The following is a 21,515-nucleotide window of genomic DNA, read 5'->3' on the forward strand; positions in this document are numbered from 1 at the left end:
TTTCGTTATATACATGTTGCTTAGAGCTTGGAAACATAACTCATGATTTTCCTTCAGTCCTCACTAGGCTCATCGACTTCTTCATTCCAGTCCATGGGTTCTTATGGACCTTTCGGCAGGATGCCCACATACAGTCAGTTCAGTCCGAGTTCCTTAGTTGGGCAGCAGTTTGGTGCTGTTGGTGTTGGTATGTTTTCTTTTTCTTTTCTTTTTTTGTTTTTGTATTCTTCCTTTCTTTACCACAAAGGTATAGAAACTCAACACCAACTATTAGAAATGTTGTTTGATGTTCCTTTTGTAACTTTGTTTTATGGTATTCAGAACACATTTTGATGATATCTTAAAGCCTTTATTGATATTAGTGGGTTTTTAAAAGTCAGCTTTCACAGAGTAACATTTTTTTTTACTAGGTAAAAAAAAAATGGATATACTAGGTATATCCAATATCTACCAAATCTACCAAATTGGATATACTAGGTATATCCAATATCTACCAAATCTTATTGGTAATTGGTTTTGTTTTGTTTTTTTTAAAGACAAAGTCTCACTCTGTCACTCAGGCTGGAGTCCAGTGGCACTATCTTGGCTCACTACAACTTCCACCTCGTGGGTTTAAGCAATTCTCGTGCCTCAGCCTCCCAGATAGCTGAGATTACGATATGCATCACCACACCCAGCTAATTTTTGTATTTTCAGTAGAGGTGGAGTTTCACTGTGTTGGCCAGGCAGGTCTTGAACTCCTGACCTCAGGTGATCCACCTGCTTCGGCCTCCCAAAGTGCTAGGATTACAGGTGTGAGCCACTGCGCCTGGCCTGGATTTTAATTAATAAATTTTTCTTTTTAATTTCTTTTTCTTTTTTTTTTTTTTTTTTTTTTTCTGAGGCAGAGTCTTGCTCTGTTGCCCAGGCTAGAGTGCAGTGGCATGATCTCCGCTCACTGCAACCTCCACCTCCCAGGCTTAAGCAGTGCTCCTGCCTCAGCCTCCTGAGTAGCTGGGATTACAGGTGTGCGCCACCACTCCCAGCCAATTTTTTTGTATTTTTAGTAGAGATGGGGTTTCACCATGTTGGCCAAGCTGGTCTCGAACTCCTGACCTCAAGTGATCCACCCACCTCAGCCTCCCGAAGTGCTGGGATTACAGGCGTGAGCCACCAAGCCCGGCCTAAAACATTTAAAAATGTTTATTTTAAACATACATAAGACATGCACACATAAAGATACGCATAGCATGATTGAGGGCTTGGTGTTTTGTTTCTGTAACACTGGATTTGAAACGAAACTATAATGAGAATGTATAGCAGGGCTGGGCGAATGACAGGCTTGCTTATGACTGGAGGGTCAAGGGCTATTGAGTGCAAAAGCTGGATGTAATCAGATTAGCTCAGTGTTTTGTTTTTATAGCTATGCATTTTAGCGTTTAAACCATGGTAAAGAACAGCTTTTAAAAAAAAATCGCTTCTCAGCCTTTTGGCTAAGCTCAAGTGTAAAAAAAAAAAAACAGCTTTAAATCTCAAGCTTTTGCCCCTAATCTTTTAAAATTTCATTGAAATAATTATCAGTTTACTGTTTCACTGCACCACAAATTTAGTTTCAGGTGTATCTTGAAACTCATTGATATGCTAATAAGTTTTATTAAAATTGTTAAATTCCTTCCTGTGAATATACTTTTTATACAGATGTGACTTAAGTATTTAAATGTTTTACTTATTCACAAAATAACAAAGAATGGCAAAAAAAAAGCAAACTAAAACTGAATGAGCTGGGCGCGGTGGCTCACGCCTGTAATCCCAGCACTTTGGGAGGCTGTGGGCGGATCACCTGAAGTCAGGAGTTCAAGACCAGCCTGACCAACATGGAGAAACCCCATCTCTACTAAAAATACAAAATTAGCTGGACGTGGTGGTGGTGCATGCCTGTAATCCCGGCTACTAGGGAGGCTGAGGTAGGAGAATCGCTTGAACCTGTGAGGCAGAGGTTGCAGTGAGCTGAGATCGTGCCATTGCACTCCAGTCTAGGCCACAACAGCAAAACTCCGTCTAAAAATAAATAAATAAATAAAACTGAATGAATATAAACAGAAACCACAGATGCTATTACATATTAAATTGATAATATAACCACACAGAGGGCTGGGTGCGGTGGCTTACGCCTGTAATCCCAGCACTTTGGGAGGCCAAGGCGTGTGGATCACGAGGTCAGGAGATCGAGACCATCCTGGCTAACACGGTGAAACTCCGTCTCTACTAAAAATACAAAAAAATTAGCCGGGCGTGGTGGTGGGCGCCTGTAGTTCCAGCTACTCGGGAGGCTGAGGCAGGAGCATGGCGTGAACCCAGGAGGCGGAGCTTGCGGTGAGCCAAGATCGTACCACTGCACTCCAGCCTGGGCGACAGAGTGAGACTCCGTCTCAATAAAACAACAAAAAAAACCACACAGAGGAAAAAATAATTCAGGTAACTTTTACACTCTTAGTAGGATATATTCTAACAACAAATAGAACTACTAAGAAAACTTGACTTTGATTTGTATTATTGGTGTTATTATTTATTTATTTATTTATTTATTTTGAGATAAGATCTGGCTCTCACCCAGGCTGGAGTGCAGTGGCACGATCCCGGCTCATTGCAACCTCCGCCTCCCAGGCTCAAGCCATCCTCCCACCTCAACCTCCCGAGTAGCTGGGATTATAGGCATGCACCACCACTCCCGGCTAGATTTTTCTTTTGTATTTTTTGTGGAGACAGGGTTTCCCCATATTTTCCAGGCTGGTCTCAAACTTGTGACCTTGAGTGATCCGCCCATCTTGGCCTCCAAAAGTGTTGGGATTACAGGTGTGAGCCACTGCACCCAGCCAGGTGTTAATTCTTAAACTGTTTTGTATGTATTATAGGAAAGGGCAAATGAATAAAATACTTATGTTGGGAAATAGTGTTTTTACCATGGAGACGGAAGATATAAATATGGAATGGGAAAGGTGAGAAAGAACCCTGTGGTGCTGAATGTAAATAGATGGTATGTGTATGGACTCATTTTTTAAAAACTGGTTATTTCCTAGCTCTGTTCGTAGAAAGGACCTAGAAACAATGGAAACCCCGTAGCAAGGGACACATGTAGACTCAGCTCTTAGTTTCTAAATACCACTCCCCACTAAAAGGAACAAGGGCCCATTGAAAAACAAAGGAAAAGACATACTTTTTTCATATAAAAATGCCTGCTAATAAGTAGAAGCAGTGGTAGATAAAGAAAATTGCCATTTTCTAATCTCAGTATAATAATTAGCGAGGATTATCATTAGATGCTGAAGTCATTGGGTGAAAGGTGTTAGGACAGCATATTAAGGTGGTCTTAAAGTATCATCCCACAATTTACAAAGGGGGAAAAATGTACCCTTGTAACACAGACATCTGGTGGTTACCAACTTCGTTGAGTGCTCAAGTTTAGCATTGCCATGAACAATTATGTGTCTCCTGTTGTGATGATTGGGGTGGGGGGCAAAACATAATATCACCTTTGTGGGGTTCTTGCTGAAAATACAGAATCTAATTTTGAAGAAATGGGCTTATATATCCAGAAGGTGGGTTGTTTTGCGAGACAGTTATCCACACTCTTCAAAAGATTCAATATTACAAAGAATGGAGAGAGGCAGCAGAACTGCTTTAGGCTGGCAAAGACTGAAGAGACATAACATCCAAATGTAATATAGAATCGAATACTGGGCTTTTAAAAAGTTGGCGTGTTTGTTTCCTGCAGGGGAGAAAAAGAAAACTTAAAAAGTTGGTGTGAAGAACATTTTAGGGACTACTAAGGAACTTTTGAGTATGGACTAATTGTTGGATTTTGTTATTATTGTTAATTTTCTGGTTAATCATATGGGAAAGTGTTTTTGTTTGGGGGAGGTGGTTTTGAAGTATTTAAAAGTAAAAGGGCCAAATTGATTTTAGCCTCTCTAAACAAAAGAAAAATGTGTATATTAAGGTATAAAGATGGAGAAACAGAGTGGGTTTGGTTAGATGTTAACAGTTGATGAGTCTAGGTGAGGAATATATTGATATTCTGTGTACTCCTTCAATTTTAACATAGGTTTGACATTTTTCATAATTAAAAATTAATTCCTTTTAGACTTACTTTAGGTGAAATAGTGTAACTTTGGTCCATAAATTTCCAAATCCAGTAGTAAGATCAATGTTATTTATTCATGTTAAATCAAGATATACTGTATGTTAACTGTAACTTAGAATCCTTTCCTGGGGATTCAAGTAAGGAATGATTGCAAATTGTATTATCCTTTTTGAGGCTCCTTTGACTAAATTAAATAGTTAACTGACTTTGAGATCATCATTATACTTCTTATGTTACCATGAAGTTTATGTAACTAATTATGTTAAAAAATTTGAACAGGATCAAGCACGTAGTATCTATATAGTAACTATTGCTTCTGCCATTCTTCAAGGTTTACTTTTTAATCAGAGTATTTTGTGGTTGTGAAATGCTTTTATAAATATTTTAATCTAATTTTAATATTATTGTGGGTTGTTGGTTTATTACTTGGGTGTCACAAAAGTAGAAGATTTTACTGGCATTTTCCATGTCAGTAGAGTAATTTTTGCAGGGTCAGATTATTTTTGATTAATTGATTTCCATATTGGTTAGGATAATTTGTGGAGTGGCTAATTAGAAAACTAGTGTTAGAAGTTACCAAATGAGGAAGAGGAAAGCTGTGGCATTGGTCAAGGTGACAGATGTTTTTCAGAAAAGGAATTAACTTAAATTTAGCTTGTTTTTTGAGATGGCGTCTTGCTCTGTCACCCAGGCTAGAGTGCAGTGGTGCGATCTCAGCTCACTGCAGCCCCCTCCTCCCGGGTTCAAGCGAGTCTCCTGCCTCAGCCTCCTGAGTAGCTGCGGTTACAAGCATGTGCCACCACGCCCAGCTAATTTTTGTATTTTTAGTAGAGACAGGGTTTCACCATGTTGGTCAGGCTGGTCTCAAACTCCTGACCTCTTGATCCGCCCGCCTCAGCCTCCCAAAGTGCTGGGATTACAGGCGTGAGCCACCATGCCCAGCCAAATTTAGCTTTTGTTGGCACAAAGTAAACCACATTTTAAGCTAGGCCTCTTTTCATTTTTGGTTCCTAGTATTCTGATTTTAAAAGGAAATTTAAATGAATCTGGATCACAGTATTGCTATTTGATGAGAAAATTTTTATATATTTACGTTTTCGTGTGTTATTACTATTGCTTTTTATTTTTATTTATTTATTTTTTGAGACAGGGTCTCTTTCTGTCATCCAGGCTGGAGTACAGTGGCACAACCACAGGTCGCTGCAGCCTAGACCTCCTGGGCTCAAGCAGTCCTCCCATCTCAACCTCCCTAGTAGCTGGGACTACAGGCATGTGCCATCATGCCCAGCTAATTTTTGTATTTTTGGTAAACACAGCATCTCAGCATGTTATCCAGGCTGATCTCGAACTCCTGGGTTCAGTCTGCCTGCCTCCGCCTCCCAAAGTGTTGGGAACCACCATGCCCACCCTTATTATTGCTTTTTAGTAAGTTTTTTTTTTTTTTTTTTTCCATTTGGTTGGTTGGTTTGGTTTTTGTTTTGTTTTGTTTTGTTTTGTTTTTGAGACTGAGTCCTGCTCTGCTGCCCAGCCTGGAGTACAAAGACGTTAGCACTTTGGGAGGCCATGGCAGGAGGATTGCTTGAGCTCAGGAGTTGGAGACCAGCCTGGGCAACATAGCTAAACCCTGGCTCTACAAAAAAAAAAAAATTAGGCAAGCATGGTGGCACACTCCTGTAATCCCAGCTGCTCCAGAGGCTGAGGTGGGGGGATTGCTTGAGCCTGAGAGGTAGAGGTTGCAATGAACCAAGAGCACGCCACTGCACTCCAGCTTGGGAAACAGAGCCAGACTGTGTCTCAAAAAAAAAAAAAAAAATCTTGCTTATAGTGAAAAACATACAAATTAAATCTACACTGAGACACCATTTCTCACTATCAGTTTGGCAAAAACTCAAAAGCTTGATTATATGCATACTCTTGGCAAGTATGTGAAGAATATATACTCTCATACATTGAGAAGAATAATATACCAGGTAGAATTAAAGGACTCACTCTGTTGCTGCCCAGGCTGGAGTGCAGTGGCGCATCTCCGCTCACTGCAAGCTCCACCTCCCTGGTTCACGCCATTCTCCTGCCTCAGCCTCCCTAGTAGCTGGGACTACAGACGCCCGCCACCACGCCCGGGTAATTTTTTGTATTTTTTTTAGTAGAGACGGGGTTTCACCGTGTTAGCCAGGATGGTCTCGATCTCCTGACCTCGTGATCCGCCCGCCTCGGCCTCCCAAAGTGCTAGGATTACAGGCGTGAGCCACCGCGCCTGGCGGACTTTTCTTAAAACTGATGCAAAAATAATTCTTATGTGTAAGAGATTAGATCATTACTGGCCTTAATTTCTGAACTCTTGGAAAAATTAAACACCTCACAATAAATGAAGCATCAAAACAGTATTTCCCTGTGTTACCATTGAACAGTAGCAAGAGCTTACTGCTGCAGTTAGAAAAAGGATTCATAGAAACAGTGAAAGGTATAGATTGACCAGCTATCTAAAGTAATTCTATAGCAAGGATTACAGTGAAGAAACATGGAGCAATTAGATGTTTTTTCTGTTATATTTACTCCAGTTGATTGTTTAAGTCTCATAATCTTATGTGCCAGATGGAGGAGTATTGGCTGAATAGACCATCAGTGGGTACATTTTAGTTGATTAAATAGCCAAACCATATTGGAGGATGGTTCTCTTAGGTCTCCAGTGTTTTGTAGAGACTAATTTTTAATCACTGAGTGATGAAGCCTTGAAGAGATGCTTACGAACTTTACAGTTAGCATAAAGCCAGGGGGGTGTTTCAACCATTATGGATGTTAAACTAAGGATTATTAAAGATCAGACCAGGCACAGTGGCTCACGCCTGTAATCCCAGCACTTTGGGAGGCTGAGACGAGTGAATCATTTGAGGTCAGGAGTTCAGGATCAGCCTGGCCAACACAGTGAAACCCTGTCTCTACTAAAAATACAAAAAAAATGAGCCGGGCTTGGTGGCGTGCGCCTGTAATCCCAGCTACTCAGGAGGCTGAGGCAGGAGAATCCCTGGAACCCAGGAGATGAAGGTTGCAGTGAGTTGAAATCATGCCACTGTACTCCAGCCTGAGCAACAGAGCGAGACCCTGTCTCAAAAAAAAAAAAAAGAAAGAAAGATTGTTAAAGATCTACTTTGGTAAAATGTGAAGGAATTAAACATTCCAGTTAAAAGGCAGAGAGTGTCAGACTGAATTTAAAAAAAAAAAAAAAAAGACAAGGCCCAACTATATTATGTTTATAAGAAATGCACTGAAAGTGAAAGAATAGAAAAAGGTATACCATACAAACAGCAATAACAAGAAAAGTGTGTAGCATACGTTAATATCAGACAAAGGAGCTTAAAGATCAGGATTTCTTCCAGAGGTAAAGGTTGGGGGGGCGTTCTTCGTAAAGATAAGGATCAGTTCATCAAGAAGATACAACAGTCCTAAATGTGTAACTTTTATAAAACAGTATACCCAACAATTGCAGAATATTGTTTTAAGTAGACATGAACTGCTCAACAATATAGACCAAATGCTGGACCATAAAATAAGTCACACTAAATTCCAAAAGGAATAAAATCATACATGGTATATTGTTAAACCACAAAATAAACTTGAAATTAATAAAGTTAACTTGAAAAATCCCCAGATAATTTGGTATCAAGTAAACTTGTTAATCACTAATGGATCAGAGGAGAATTTACAAGGGAAATTAGAGAATATTTTAAATCTAGACCAGATGTGATAGCATACACCTGTAATCCCAGCACTTTGGGTGGTGGCCAAGGTGGGAGGATCACTTGAGGCCAGGAGTTCAAGACCAGCCTGGGGAACATAGGGAGACCTTGTCTCTGCAAAAAAAAAAAAAAAATTTAAGTAGCTGGGTGTGGTTGTACATACCTGTAGTCCTAGCACTCAGGAGGCTGGGGTGGGAGACTTGATTGAGCCCAGGAATTCAAGACTGCAGTGAGCTGTGATTCTGCTGCTGCACTCCAGGAAAGGCGACAGAGCTAGACCTTTTCTCTAAAAAGAAAAAATTAAATTAAAAAAATTTTATTTTCAATTTAATGACCAGAAAGTTTGTGGGTGTAGCTAAAACAGTGTTTAGAAAAATTTTCATAGCTTTAAATACATGTATTAGAAAACAAGAATTTTCGGCTGGGCGCAATGGCTCATGCCTATGATCCCAGCACTTTGGGAGGCTGAGATGGGCAGATCGCTTGAGGTCAGGAGTTCAAGACCAGCCTGGTCAATGTGATAAAAACTCGTCTCTATTAAAAATACAAAAATTACTCAGGCGTCTTGGCATGCGCCTGTAGTCCCAGCTATTTGGGAGGCGGAGGCAGGAGAATCACTTGAGCTGGGGAGGCAGAGGTTGCAGTGAGCCAAGATGACGTCACTACACTCCAGCCTGGGTTACAGGGCAAGACTTTGTCTCAAATAAAAAGGAAAAGAAAATAAGAATTTTTAAAATCAGTGCTTTAAGCTACCAGTTTAAGAAGCTAGGAAAGGGCCAGGTGTGGTGTCTCCCACCTGTAATCCCAGCACTTTGGGAGGTCAAGGCGGGCAGATTACCTGAGGTCAGGAGTTCGAGACCAGCCTGGCCAACATGGTGAAACCCCATCTCTACAAAAATACAAAAATTAGCCAGGTATGATGGCAGGTGCCTGTAATCCCAGCTACTCAGGAGGCTGAGGCAGGAGAAACGCTTGAACCCGGGAGGCGGAGGTTGCAGTGAGCCGAGATCACACCATTGAACTCCAGCGTGGGCGACAGAACAAGACTCCATCTCACAAAAAAAAAAAAAAAAAAAAAAAAAAAAAATACTAGGAAAAATGGTTAGCTGGGCATGGTGGTGAATGCCCTTAGTCCTAACTGCTTGGGAGGCTGAAGTGGGAGGATTCCTTGAGCCCAGCAGTTCAAGGTTGCAGTGAACTATGATTGTGCCACTGCCTTCTAGCCTGGGTGACAGAGTGAGACCATGTCTCTAAGAAAAGTTGGTGAGGACGCCAGGGGACAGCTAGGAAAAAAAATGAAAGAAAATTATTCCAAAAGTAGTAGAGGGGGAAGAAAATAAAAAGATAAGAGCAGAAATCAATGAAGTAGAAATAGATTATATTATCAGCAAAGTCAAGAGTTTGTTTTGGGTGGGTTTTTTTATTTTTTATTTTTATTTTATAAGATTGATAAGTCCCTAACAAAACTGATTAAGGAAAGAAAGAACAACCAAGCAAGTTGCCAATACCAGGAATGAAAGAGTAGACGTCAGTATAGACCTTAAAAGAATAATATGGGAATATATGAATGTCAACAAATGTGATAGTTTGGATGAAGTGGGCAAATTTCTTGAAAAATAGCAAACCAACACAAGAGGAAATAAAATCTCAATATCTCTATATCTTCTAATGAAATTGAAACAGTAATTTAAAATCACCCAGAAAGAAAATTCTAGACTGTTTTTACTGTTACATTCTACCAAACATTTAGGGAAGAAATAATTTTCACTAATCTTACACAAACTCTTTCAGATAGCTATGCACCATGATGCATGCCTGTAGTCCCAGTAACTCAGGAGGCTGATGCAGAAGGATCTCTTGAGCCCAGGAGTTCAAGGCTGCAGTGAGCCATGATTGTGCCACTGCACTCCAGCCAAGGCAACAGAGCAAAACCCTGTCTCTTAAAAAGTAAAAAAAGACTGGGTACGGTGGCTCAAACCTGTAATCCCAGCACTTTGGGAGGCCGAGGCGGGCAGATCACGAGGTCAGGAGATCGAGACCAGCCCAGCCAACATGGTGAAACCCTGTCTCTACTAAAAATACAAAAAAAAAAAAATTAGTTGGGCATGGTGGCGCGCGCCTGTAGTCCCAGCTGCTCGGGAGGCTGAGGCAGGAGAATCGCTTGAGCCCAGGAGGCGGAGGTTACAGTTAGCTGAGATCGCGCCACTGCACTCCAGCCTGACGACAGAGCAAGACTCCATCTCAAAAAGAAAAAAAGAAAATTCAGAGAATACAGGAAGAGGAAATATTTGCTGACCCTATAACCAAGGCCAAATAACTGAAATACCAACTGTGACTGGATCGTTACAAGAAAATTATAGATCATTGTCCCCCATGAACATAAACGTAGTAATGTTTATTAGATGTAGAAGCCAGCACTTCAGAAGAAGGATTGTATATGATGACAAAGATTTATCTCAGGACTGCGAAGCTGCAACATTTGAAAATCAGTTGTAACTTACCACGTTAACAGACCAGGAATAAAGAATAGAGAATCCAGAAATAGACCCACTCAGATACTTAAAACAGAGTACCAAGACAGTTCAATGGAGAGAAAAGACATTGTTTTAACAAGAGGTGTTGCAGCAGCTGTTTATCTGTGGAAAAAATAAAACTTGACCCCTGGCTTAAACTATAAATTAAAAATAATTTGGAATAGATTATAGACATAAATTGGTAGTAGAATTGGAGTAGAGCGAGGGGGGTGTGGCACGATCAGGAACTCACGGAAGAGATTTGCTCTAACCATTGAATGCGTAATCCAGAGGACAAGCAATGGGAGGCCAAGCCAGGTGAGGAAACACAGAGCAGCCTGGAGATGCAAATATACATCAAAGTGGCTGATGTCTTGGTCATCACCCAGGAATACTAGAAATAACTGGATGGGTTCTACTCCCCACAGAATTCTTGAAAGCGCTAGTCCCCACATTACCGGGATATTGTGGGAAGTTGTATTAGGCTTCTCCTGAGCTTACTGGAGCTGCAGCCAGACTGGACTGCACCTCCAAGGGAGTCCCAGTGGCTCCCCTTGTCTAAGATACTGTGCTGCTTTCTGAAGCCACATTTTTTTTTTTTTTTTTGAGACAGAGTCTCACTCTGTCACCCAGGCTGGAGCACAGTGGCCCAATATTGGCTCATTGCAACCTCCACCTCCCAGGTTCAAGCAATTTTCCTACCTCAGCCTCCTGAGTAGCTGGGACTGCAGGCATGCGCCACCACGCCCAGCTAATTTTTGAATTTTTGTAGAGACGAGGTTTCATCATACTGGTCAGGCCAGTCTTGAACTCCTGATCTCGTGATCTGCCCACCTCGGCCTCCCAAAATGCTGGGATTACAGGTGTGAGCCACTGCGCCCGGCCCTAAAGCCACATTTTAAGAGGGATAAGAACAAATAGAATTCATTAAATTAGGAGTCCAAGAAAGGAAGGGGAGAGTGTCCTAAAGACCATGTGAAGTGAGTAATGGTTGAAGGGACTGGAGTTGACTAACCTGAAAATGAGCAAATTGCAAGGGGCATGATTGTAATCTTCATGTGTTTTAGGAGCAGAAGGATAAACTTCTGCTGTGGGCTAGACTGGTGAAAATATAGAAAATGTTGAGAGAAGAGGTAGGTTTTATTAACTGAAGTGAATAGTTTGAACTTTTATCTTGAGGACAGTGGAAGCCACCAGAAGGTCTAAAGCACGATAATGTTATTACATTTATATTTTGTAAAGAATCACTCTGACTACCATCTTTAGGTTGGATTTAGAGGTTGTGGAAGGGGGAGGTACTGTTGAAATATAGTGAAAACCTGCTTAGATGAAATACCAAGGAAAGAGCACAGTATATCAAAAGTGAATGATCCCTAAGTACTGTAGAAACTTAGAGAAGAAATTTGATATAACCTAGTATGGCAGAGAATTGGGCCCTTTCTAGGGACCTTTTTACTCATATTGCCAGAACTTTTTGCAGCTGCTTTAGGCAGAATGCAGCCTCACAGTCCTATCTTAAGGGGAAGCATTGAAACCAGAGTCCATTGTCTATTGCCTTGGAAATGCTAAAAAAGCTCCTCGTAAACCTGTCTGCTGATTTGGCTGTTTGTCCAGATACTTAGTATTAGAATCACTGAACCTTAATGTTGGTGTTGAATGTACCATTTCTGCTACTTCTCTAGTTGGTATGGGTCCTTGCTGTCCCATCTGCATAACTGCCTAGGACAGCACTCCATGTGTTATAAACATTGCTTGCATCCAAGGATAGTGGACAGTATATTGGCTCCCCCTTCCCCTGCCCTCCATATTGCCATAAAATTCCCAAACTATTCAGTACACTTTAATTTCCAAGATTATTAATTTGTACAGATGCTGGGGGGAGAGGTAGACAATTACCATCATTAAAATGCTGCATTACTTTATATCATTGAATAATGTCAAACATTTTTTAAAATTTTTTTATCATTTAAAAACATCTCTTTAAGCTGGAAGCTCTTTGACATCCTTTGGAACAGAAACATCAAACAGTGGTACCTTACCCCAAAGTAGTGCGGTTGGTTCTGCCTTTACACAGGATACAAGATCTCTAAAAACACAGTTATCTCAAGGTAAGCTATCTCATCCCTAAAATATTTCCATTCTAAACTTTTATAGTGGTTTTTGTCTTTCTGAATGTAAGAGCTTTTGCAGCTTGTAAATCGCGTGTATAATTTCTATTTGGCTCTTTTAAAATTTTTCTCCAAATCGCTGTATTGCAATGAATATATTATTGAATGACTCTCACTATTTAGACTTATTACAGTTCTTAGATCATGAAACTGAAATGCTGAGCATTCTCTAAGTTGGACTTTTTTTGCAAAGCAATTATATAACTTGTATGTAACACTTAAATATATCAAATTAGGCTCATACTCACCATTAAAGTTGAGCTATCCAAGATGAATTGGAAATATCATCTGAAAAAAACTGTATTATGCTGTTAACATTTTCCCTAACATCCTCACAGGATGGAGAGTAGTGGTTCTCAGTGTAGGCTACCCACAACTGAATCATCTGGGGTGCTTCTTAAAAATTTAAATCCTGAGACTTATACATCAGAATCCCTGGAGCCTGAGGATTTATATTTTAATAAGCTTCTTAAAGGATTGTTTTATTTCTTAAGATTCTGCTCTTCAACCAGCCAGTCTCATAATTTTAAATGGTTATCCATACCTTTTATTCTTATCTTTGTTTCTTCCTTTTTTCTTAATCTTTTTCTTTCTTTTATTTACTTATTAGAGATGAGGTCTCCCTGTATTGCCCAGGCTGGTCTCGAACTCCTGGGCTCAAGCGATCCATTTGCCTTGGCCTCCCCAAAGTGTTGGGATGTTGGGATTACAGGCGTGAGCCATTGGGCCTGGCTTTTTTTTTTTTTTTAAAGATAGGTCTCACTATGCTGCCCAAACTGAAATGCAGTGGCTATTTACAGATGTGATCATAGTGCACTGCAGCCTTGGACACCTGGCCCCAAACAAGCCTCCCACTTTAGCTTCCCCAGTAGCTGGGGCTACAGCCTTGTGCCACCATGCTCGGCTTTTCCTTATCTATTTTTATGCACTTTAGAAATGGGTATTTTTGGCTCATTGCTTTATATGAATGGTTTTTGTTTTGTTTTGTTTTTAAGTAAAACAATGTTGAGTCATTTCAGAAAGACCTATAGTCACAAGACAGTATTTTAAAAAGCTATTAAGGGTAAAAATTCAATGCTAAACATAATCTTATGTATTTCACTTAAGATATTTTGAAATAGTTCTTACTGTTACTCATATTGATTAGCTTAATTTTTTTCTTTTTTTTTTTCTTTTAAGATGGAGTCTTGCTCTGTCACCCAGACTGGAGTGCAGTGGCACAATCTCGGCTCACTGCAACCTCCACCTCCCAGGTTCAAGCGATTCTCCTGCCTCACCCTCCCAAATAGCTGGGATTACAGGCACGTGCCACCACGCCCAGCTCATTTTTTTGTATTTTTGGTAGAGATGTGGTTTCGTGATGTTGGCCAGGCTGGTCTCAAACTCCTGACCTCAAGTGATCCACCTGCCTTGGCCTCCCAAAGTGCTGGGATTGTAGATGTGAGCCACTGCGTCCAGCCTACTTGCTTAATTTTTAAACATTCTAAAGATTGTTTGTTTGTTTTTTGAGATAGGGTCCTGCTCTGTCTCCCAGACTGGAATGCAGTGGTGTGATCATGGCTCACTGCAGCCTCTACCTCCTGAGCTCAGGCCATCCTCCCAATTAGCTGAGATCACAAGCAAGCACCACCAGCTAGTTTTGTAGGGACGGGGTTTCGCCATGTTGCCAAGGCTGGTCTGGAACTCCTGGGCTCAAGTGATCCACCCACCTTGGCCTCCCAAAGTGCTGGGATTATAGGCATGAGCCACAGTGCCCGGCCTATTCTGGAATTTTTAGTTAAATCAGGAACACATGAAAAAGAAGCATAAATATTGAAATTAGCATTATTCATGAAGAATGAGAACTAATAAGGAACTTAAATTAGGCACAGGCAAAATGTAAATTAAATATACAAAAGTCAATAGTTCTGGCCGGGCACGATGGCTCATGCCTGTAATCCCAGCACTTTGGGAGGCCAAGGCAGGCGGATCGCCTGAGGTCAGGGGTTCGAGACCAGCCTGGCCAACCAACATGGTGAAACCCCATCTCTACTAAAAATACAAAAATTAGCCGGGCATGGTGGCGTGCACCTGTAATCCCAGCTACTCAGGAGGCTGAGGTGGGAGAACCCGGGAGGCAGAGGTTGCAGTGAGCCGAGATCACGCTACTGCACTCCAGCTTGGGCGACAGAGCGAGACTCCATCTTAAAAAAAAAAAAAATTTAATAGTCCTAAAGCCTAATCCATTGATTATGTAATGAGGAGAAAAGATGATTACAGTAATGCAAAATAGAAATTGTATACAAAATATATAATAAGAAATAAGTTGGTCATACTAAGAAATATGACCAACTTCTATGATAAATAATGTAAGACAGGGACATAAAAGTTGCATGTAATGGAAAAAACATATCTTATTGCTAGATAGAAGAACAAGAACAGTACCAGCACTTAGGGAGGCAAAGCCAGGATGATCACTTGAGCCCACGAGTTTGAGACCAGCCTGAGCAACGTAGTGAAACTTCATCTCTACCAAAAAATTTTAAAAATAAGCAGAGTATGATGGTGGACACCTGTGGTCCTAGCTACTCAAGAGGCTGAGACAGGAGGATCACTTGAGCCCAGGAGGCCGAGGCTGCAGTGAGCCCTAACTGCACTACCTCACTCCAGCCTGGGCGACAGAACCAAGACCCTGTCCCCCCCCAAAAAAAAAAGATGTTGGGAAGACTTTACTCCTCATAGTTAACAAATTTATTGCAAATTAATTAAAAATCAATGCAAATAGAATAGTAGGAGAACTTAGTAAAACAGTTTATCTTTAAAATAAACATGGAAGTGTGGCTGGACATATTTGAAAAATAAAAGTAATGGGTTTACTGACATGATAATAAAATGTAGCAATGCAGGAAAAAAGAAAGAGATGAATAGAAAGCAATAGGCAGGCAGAAACAGATCCGAGTATAAATAAGAATTTATCCTGGGTGCAGTGGTTCATGCCTGAAACCCTAACATTTTGCGAGTTCAAGATGGAAGCCAGGGATTTGAGACTAGCCTGGGCAACATACCAGGACCCTGTCTCTAAAAAAATTAAAAATTAGTTGGGCGTGATGTGTGCGCCTATCAGCTTGAGAGGCTGAAGCTAGAGGATTGCTTGAGCCCAGGAGGTTAAGGTGGCAGCAAGCTGTGATTGCGGCCCTGCACACTAGCCTAGGCAACAGAGCAAGAATTCATCTTAAAAGAATTTAGTAGATGATAAAGGTATTATTTTAAATTAGTGGAGAGAAGGCTGTCTGTTCCAATTAATAATGTTGCCTGATCATTTGGAGAAAGTCACTCTAGATTCTTTCCCTCATACTGAGCACCAAAAAATATATAAATTTTAAATAGATTAAAATGTTAAAAATTTTGAAGTATGTGTTTATTAAAAGAAAGAGGTGTATTTACATAAAGTTATGACAAATGACAAGTCCTAAGAGTTTGCATTTAAGTTTTATCAACTAAAATTGCTGAATTTCACAAAATTAAAATTCCTAGAATTTTAAGTGTGATAAGATTGTGAAGATAGCTCAAGGGAGTGTGTCTATAATATGCAGAAATCACTTCTGGATTTATTCCTAATAATGTATCCAGTATCACAGTATCACCTGTATTTCCCTGTTTATAACAAAACTGGCATCATGATGATTAGTAGGCCTTAATAGTGAAAAGGCTTTTTAAGTACACAACAAATGTTTCTGTACTTGCTCCGATTGCCCCATTGCTTGTACTTCTGTAGTACTTGTGAGCCATAGGATCTTTTCTCAAAAGCCTTGATAAAGAAGTTTTATAAACTTATAAGATGATTTAATGTAGTACCATAAAATTAACTGTAGCAGTAGGCTTTTTCAGGAAGACATGTGAAATAAAAAAAATTAGCAAGGTGTGGTAGCGCACATCTATAGTCCTAGCTACTCAAGAGGCTGAGGCAGGAAGATCATTGGGTCCCAGGAGTTAGAAGTTGCAGCGAGCTGTGATTGCGCCACTGCACTCCAGCCAGAGCAACAGAACAAGACCCTATCCTGTCCCTAAAAAACAAAAAACAAAATGTGTTTTATAAGTGATTATAAAATGTTTTTTTCATAGGCCAAAACTTACATAAACCATGATTTCCCATTATAATCCAGTGGAAAAATTGTAATGCTTCTATTAGTGGTAACTTAATTTTGAAATGTTAAGTAGATTGTGCCTGTGTCGGTTTCTGGGTTTTGATAAATGATCATTTATTTGGCTAACTTTGCCATTAATGGCTGAAATGGTATTGCACATTTGTAAGTGCATACTTTAGATAATCATAAATTGGGGAAATATTACTAATAAATTATCCCTGAATCATCTAGGTACATAATAATGCATTGTCAGCACTCACCAGTTGTTTGACACCTGCAAATATGCACAGATGGACAGTAACATTTGCAGCATATTTGGGGGATTTTTTTACGTGAAATGAGCATTTTTTTTAAGCAAAACATTATATTTTGGAATAATTATGAGATGTGAGTGCCTAAGCAGAGATGTACAGCAAACATTATCAGGACAGAAAGCATGATGGGAGCACCCGATGTTACATTCTTCAGTTCATGCTGTGACCAGGCGACCTCATAAAAGGAAAAATATAATGTATAAGTACAAACCCCATTTTTTGTTTTGGCTCTTTTATATTTGTATTTTTTGAGACAGAGTCTAGTTTTGTCACCCAGGCTGGATGCAGTGGACCGATCTCGGCTCACTACAACCTCTGCCTCCCAGGCTCAAGCAATCCACCCACTTCAGCCCCCTGAGTAGCTGGGGTTACAGGCATGTGCCACCACACCTGGCTAATTTTTGTATTTTTTTTGTAGAGACAGGCTTTCGCCATGTTGTTCAGGCTGGTCTCGAACTCCTGAGCTCAAGCGATCTGCCCATCTCAGCCTCCCAAATTGCTGGGATTATAGGTGTGAGCAACCGCGCCCAGCCAAACCCCATATTAAGCAAAAACTTGCCAAGAGATCTTTTAAAAGGCAAGGAATGAGTATGGCTACTGTGTAATTATCTGAAGGGTTTTTTTTGTTTGTTTTTTGGTTTTGTTTGTTTGTTTTTTTGCTGGCCTTTTAGTTTTTATGTTTAATTACCCAAGCCCCTAAAGCATTAAAGAACTTCACCTATCTAACTTTGTAGTTCTTTTACTTTATTTATTTATTTATTTATTTATTTATTTATTTATGAGACAGGGCCTTGCTCTGTCACCTAGGCTAGAGTGCAGTGGCACAATCTCGGCTCACTGCAGCTTCTGCCTCCCGGGTTCAAGCTATCCCATCTCAGCCTCCTGAGTAGCTGGGAACACAGGCACGCGCCACCACGCCTGGCTAATTTTTGTATTTTCAGTAGAGACAGGGTTTCGCCATGTTGCCTAGGCTGGTCTTGAAATCCTGGGCTCAAGCGATCCTCCTGCTTCAGCCTCCCAAAGGACTAGGATTACAGGCATATGCCACTGCGCCCGGCCCTTTACTTTCTTATAATAGAAATTTAATGGAGTTAATACCTGTAGATAGATGTAAAGGTATTGTTTTAGTCATCTACAGAAAGTACTAAGAAAGATTAAAACAAGTCACCATAGTCTTATGGTTGTCATTGGCGAAAGCCTGTGTTTGACCTGACTACAACATGATAATTTGTAGGATAATTCTAGGGAATCTCGTACCTGGCAGCAATTTTTTTTTTTTTTTTTGATGTAAACTCTTCCACTAAGTAGAAATAACAGATAAAATTGTGAGGGGGAGGGAGTTGTTTTGAAGCTGTTGAAGTTTTTTTTTAAATTATTATTATTTTTTATTTTTAACCTAATGACAAGCCCACTAAGGATACCATTCTTAATATCTGGTCTGATAAGTGGATTAATTCAAATTTGTGCTAAGGGTTTGAATTGATAGAAATAAAACTCTGGACAATTTTTTTTAGGGTCTAGATTATTTTGAAATCCCCAATAGGGTAGTTTGTTATCTTTTGGTTACATTTTAGGTCGCTCAAGCCCTCAGTTAGACCCTTTGAGAAAAAGCCCAACCATGGAACAAGCAGTGCAGACCGCCTCAGCCCACTTACCTGCTCCAGCAGCTGTTGGGAGAAGGAGTCCTGTATCAACCAGGCCTTTGCCATCTGCCAGCCAAAAGGCAGGAGAGAATCAGGAGCACAGGCGAGGTAGAACTTTAGCTGTTTACTGTTCCTTAATTGACTGATCAATGTTTTCCACTCACTTTATTTTCATTAGAAGGATTTACTTCATGTGAATGATCCCAGAAAATTAAACTGAATATGATAGAATGTTTGGTCTTTCAAATTTGACTCAAAGTGGTGGTGGTGTGGGTATAGTTTTTTGGGCATTGCACAGGCTTTGTTTTGGGTTTTTTGGTTTGTTTGTTTGCATTTCTAACTATGGAAGTTTTTGATGATGTACCCTGAGTTGATTTGGCACTTTGCATGTCTTCTTCTGTAGCTGAAGTACACAAAGTTTCAAGGCCAGAAAATGAGCAACTCAGAAATGATAACAAGAGACAAGTAGGTAAGTTCTTGGATCTAAAAGTCATATTCTATGCTTCTCAACAGGGAGAATATTTTAAATATATGATACATAATTACTATAAAAAAATGAAAGGCGGGGGTTGTGACTGTAAAGGAGGAGCACAGGGGAGTGTCACTGTGGTGACAGAACAGTCCTTTATCTTGATTGTGGTGGTAGTTTTGCAAATCTATATATGGTAGAACATCATAGAACTATGCATAAAGACATACCAAAAAATGAGTACATGTACAAACTGGTGACATCTGAGCAAGGTCTGTAGTTTAGTTAATTAGATTGTGCCTGTGTCGGTTTCTTGGTTTCGATAATGTACCATAATTATATAAGATGTGACTGTTGGAGTTTGGGAAGTTGGGTGATGGGCACAAGGGACGACTCTGAACTAGTTTTTCAATTTTTCTTTTCTATAATTACTTTAAAATAAAAAGATTTTTTAAAATTTTACTTTTCTGGGCCCGGCACAGTGGCTCACGCCTGTAATTCCAGCACTTTGGGAGGCCGGGGCGGGCGGATCACGAGGTCAGGAGCTCGAGACCAGCCTGGCTAACATGGTGAAACCCCGTCTCCACTAAAAATACAAAAAATTAGCCGGGCGCAGTGGCGGGCGCCTGTAGTCCCAGCTACTCAGGAGGCTGAGGCAGGAGAATGGCGTGAACTGGGGAGGTGGAGCTTGCAGTGAGCCGAGATTGCTCCACTGCACTCCAGCCTAGGCGACAGAGCCAGACTCTGTCTCAAAAAAAAAAAAATTTTACTTTTCTGGAAAAAAATTCTACTTAGTGGTAGGCCTTTTTTTTTCTGAGATGGAGTTTCACTCTTGTTACCCAGGCTGTAGTGCAGTGGTGTGATCTCAGCTCACGGCAGCCTCCGCCTCCCGGGTTCAAGTAATTCTCCTGCCTCAGCCTCCCTAGTAGCTGGGATTACAGCCGCGTGCCACCATACCCAGCTAATTTTTGTATTTTTAGTAGAAACAGGGCTTTGCCATGTTGGCCAGGCTGGCCTCAAACTCCTGACCTTATTTTCCACCCACCTCAGCCTCCCGAAGTATTGGGATTATAGGCGTGAGCCACCGCACCCAGCCAGGCAGTTATCTTTTAATATGTTCTTGAGTATTTCCTGCTAGAAGGATTTGTTCGTTTATATTTACATTTTCCTATGGCTTCTACTTTTGTGGTTTTTATGTTTTGTGTCAGTTTCAAGTTAGGATTATAAAATTGGTTTTCATTGTTTTCTATGCCTTTGGGAATGGAATTTTCTTCATGTTACAAGTTTGAAACGTTTCCTCATTAAAATTAAGCCCAGAGGCCAGGCACGGTGGCTCACACCTGTAATCTCAGCACTTTGGGACGCCGAGGCGGGCAGGTCACGAGGTCAGGAGTTTGAGATCAGCCTGGCCATACGGTGAAACCCTGTCTCTACTAAAAATAGAAAAATTAGCTGGGTGTGGTGGCACACGCCTGTAGTCCCAGCTGCTCGGGAGGCTGAGGCAGGAGAATCACTTGAACCCGGGAGGCGAGGTTGTAGTGAGCCAAGATCGTACCACTGCACTCCAGCCTGGGCAACAGAGCGAGAGTCTGTCAAAAAAAAAAAAAAAAAAAAATTGAGCCCAGATCCTGTTTTTGAATCAGTTGTTTAAGAGCTGTAGTTTTCTTTTATGATTATTGATTTAATAAGGTTTTATATTTTCTTTATCTGTTTTGTAATATATAACATTCTAAAATCATTCATTTTATTAATATTTTCAAATTTATTAATGGAAAATAAATTATAATTTTACAACTCTTCTAAATTAAAAAGGGAATGTATAATCTACCTTATTTAGAAAATGATTGAAAAATGATCTTTCACTTAATTTTAGAAATCTAGATATGATATTTTTAGATGTATATGTACTCTTCTCTACATTTATATATATATATATTTTTATATCCCCCCCCCCCGTGTTTTTTTTTTTTTTTTTTTTTTTTTTGAGACAGAGTCAACCTCTGTCACCCAGGCTGGAGTGCAGTGGGGCACGATCTCAGCTCACTGCAACCTCCACCGCCCGGGTTCATGCCATTCTCCTGCCTCACCCTCCTGAGTAGCTGGGACTACATATGCCATGGAATACAGAATTTTGTTTAATTTGACTCATTATATTTTACCCTTTTTATTCAGAAAAAGAGAGAGCTCCCCTCCCAAAATAAAATAACTGCCATACTATCTTTCATTGCCCTTCAAAACTCACCCCACCAAAGAGGTTCATTAACAGAACAGTGCATATTCTTCCCGATTTTTTTTGTAGATTTTACAGACACAGACATCTATACCCAAAACCTTTTTTTTTTTTTTTTTTTTTCCCCCTGGAGATAGAATCTCGCTCTGTCACCCAGGCTGGAGTGTAGTGGTGCGATCTCTGCTCACTGCAGCCTTTGC

General features: G+C 40.3%; 1 protein-coding gene across 30 annotated transcripts in view; it reads left to right on the top strand.

Annotated features, from left to right (window-relative positions):
- The window catches only part of LSM14A (LSM14A mRNA processing body assembly factor), a 56,785-nt gene that overhangs the window by 24,073 nt on the left and 11,197 nt on the right, over nucleotides 1-21,515 (top strand). For 16 of the 30 annotated variants that reach the window (NR_169266.1, NR_169262.1, NM_001384434.1 and 13 more), the window contains 4 exons: nucleotides 58-187; nucleotides 12,353-12,475; nucleotides 18,548-18,724; nucleotides 19,020-19,085. Coding sequence is in view for 24 of the 30 variants with exons in the window: in NM_001384430.1 (NP_001371359.1) it covers nucleotides 58-187; nucleotides 12,353-12,475; nucleotides 18,548-18,724; nucleotides 19,020-19,085 (496 nt within the window). In the remaining 6 variants the exon portion in view is untranslated. Of the gene's footprint in view, nucleotides 1-57; nucleotides 188-2,891; nucleotides 2,976-11,434; nucleotides 11,501-12,352; nucleotides 12,476-18,547; nucleotides 18,725-19,019; nucleotides 19,086-21,515 lie in introns of all 30 variants that reach the window. The other 14 variants (NM_001384426.1, NM_001384425.1, NM_001384424.1 and 11 more) reach the window with 7 other exon arrangements.

This window comes from Homo sapiens, chromosome 19, assembly GCF_000001405.40.
Source record: "Homo sapiens chromosome 19, GRCh38.p14 Primary Assembly".
In the NCBI taxonomy this organism is placed as follows: Eukaryota; Metazoa; Chordata; class Mammalia; order Primates; family Hominidae; genus Homo; species Homo sapiens.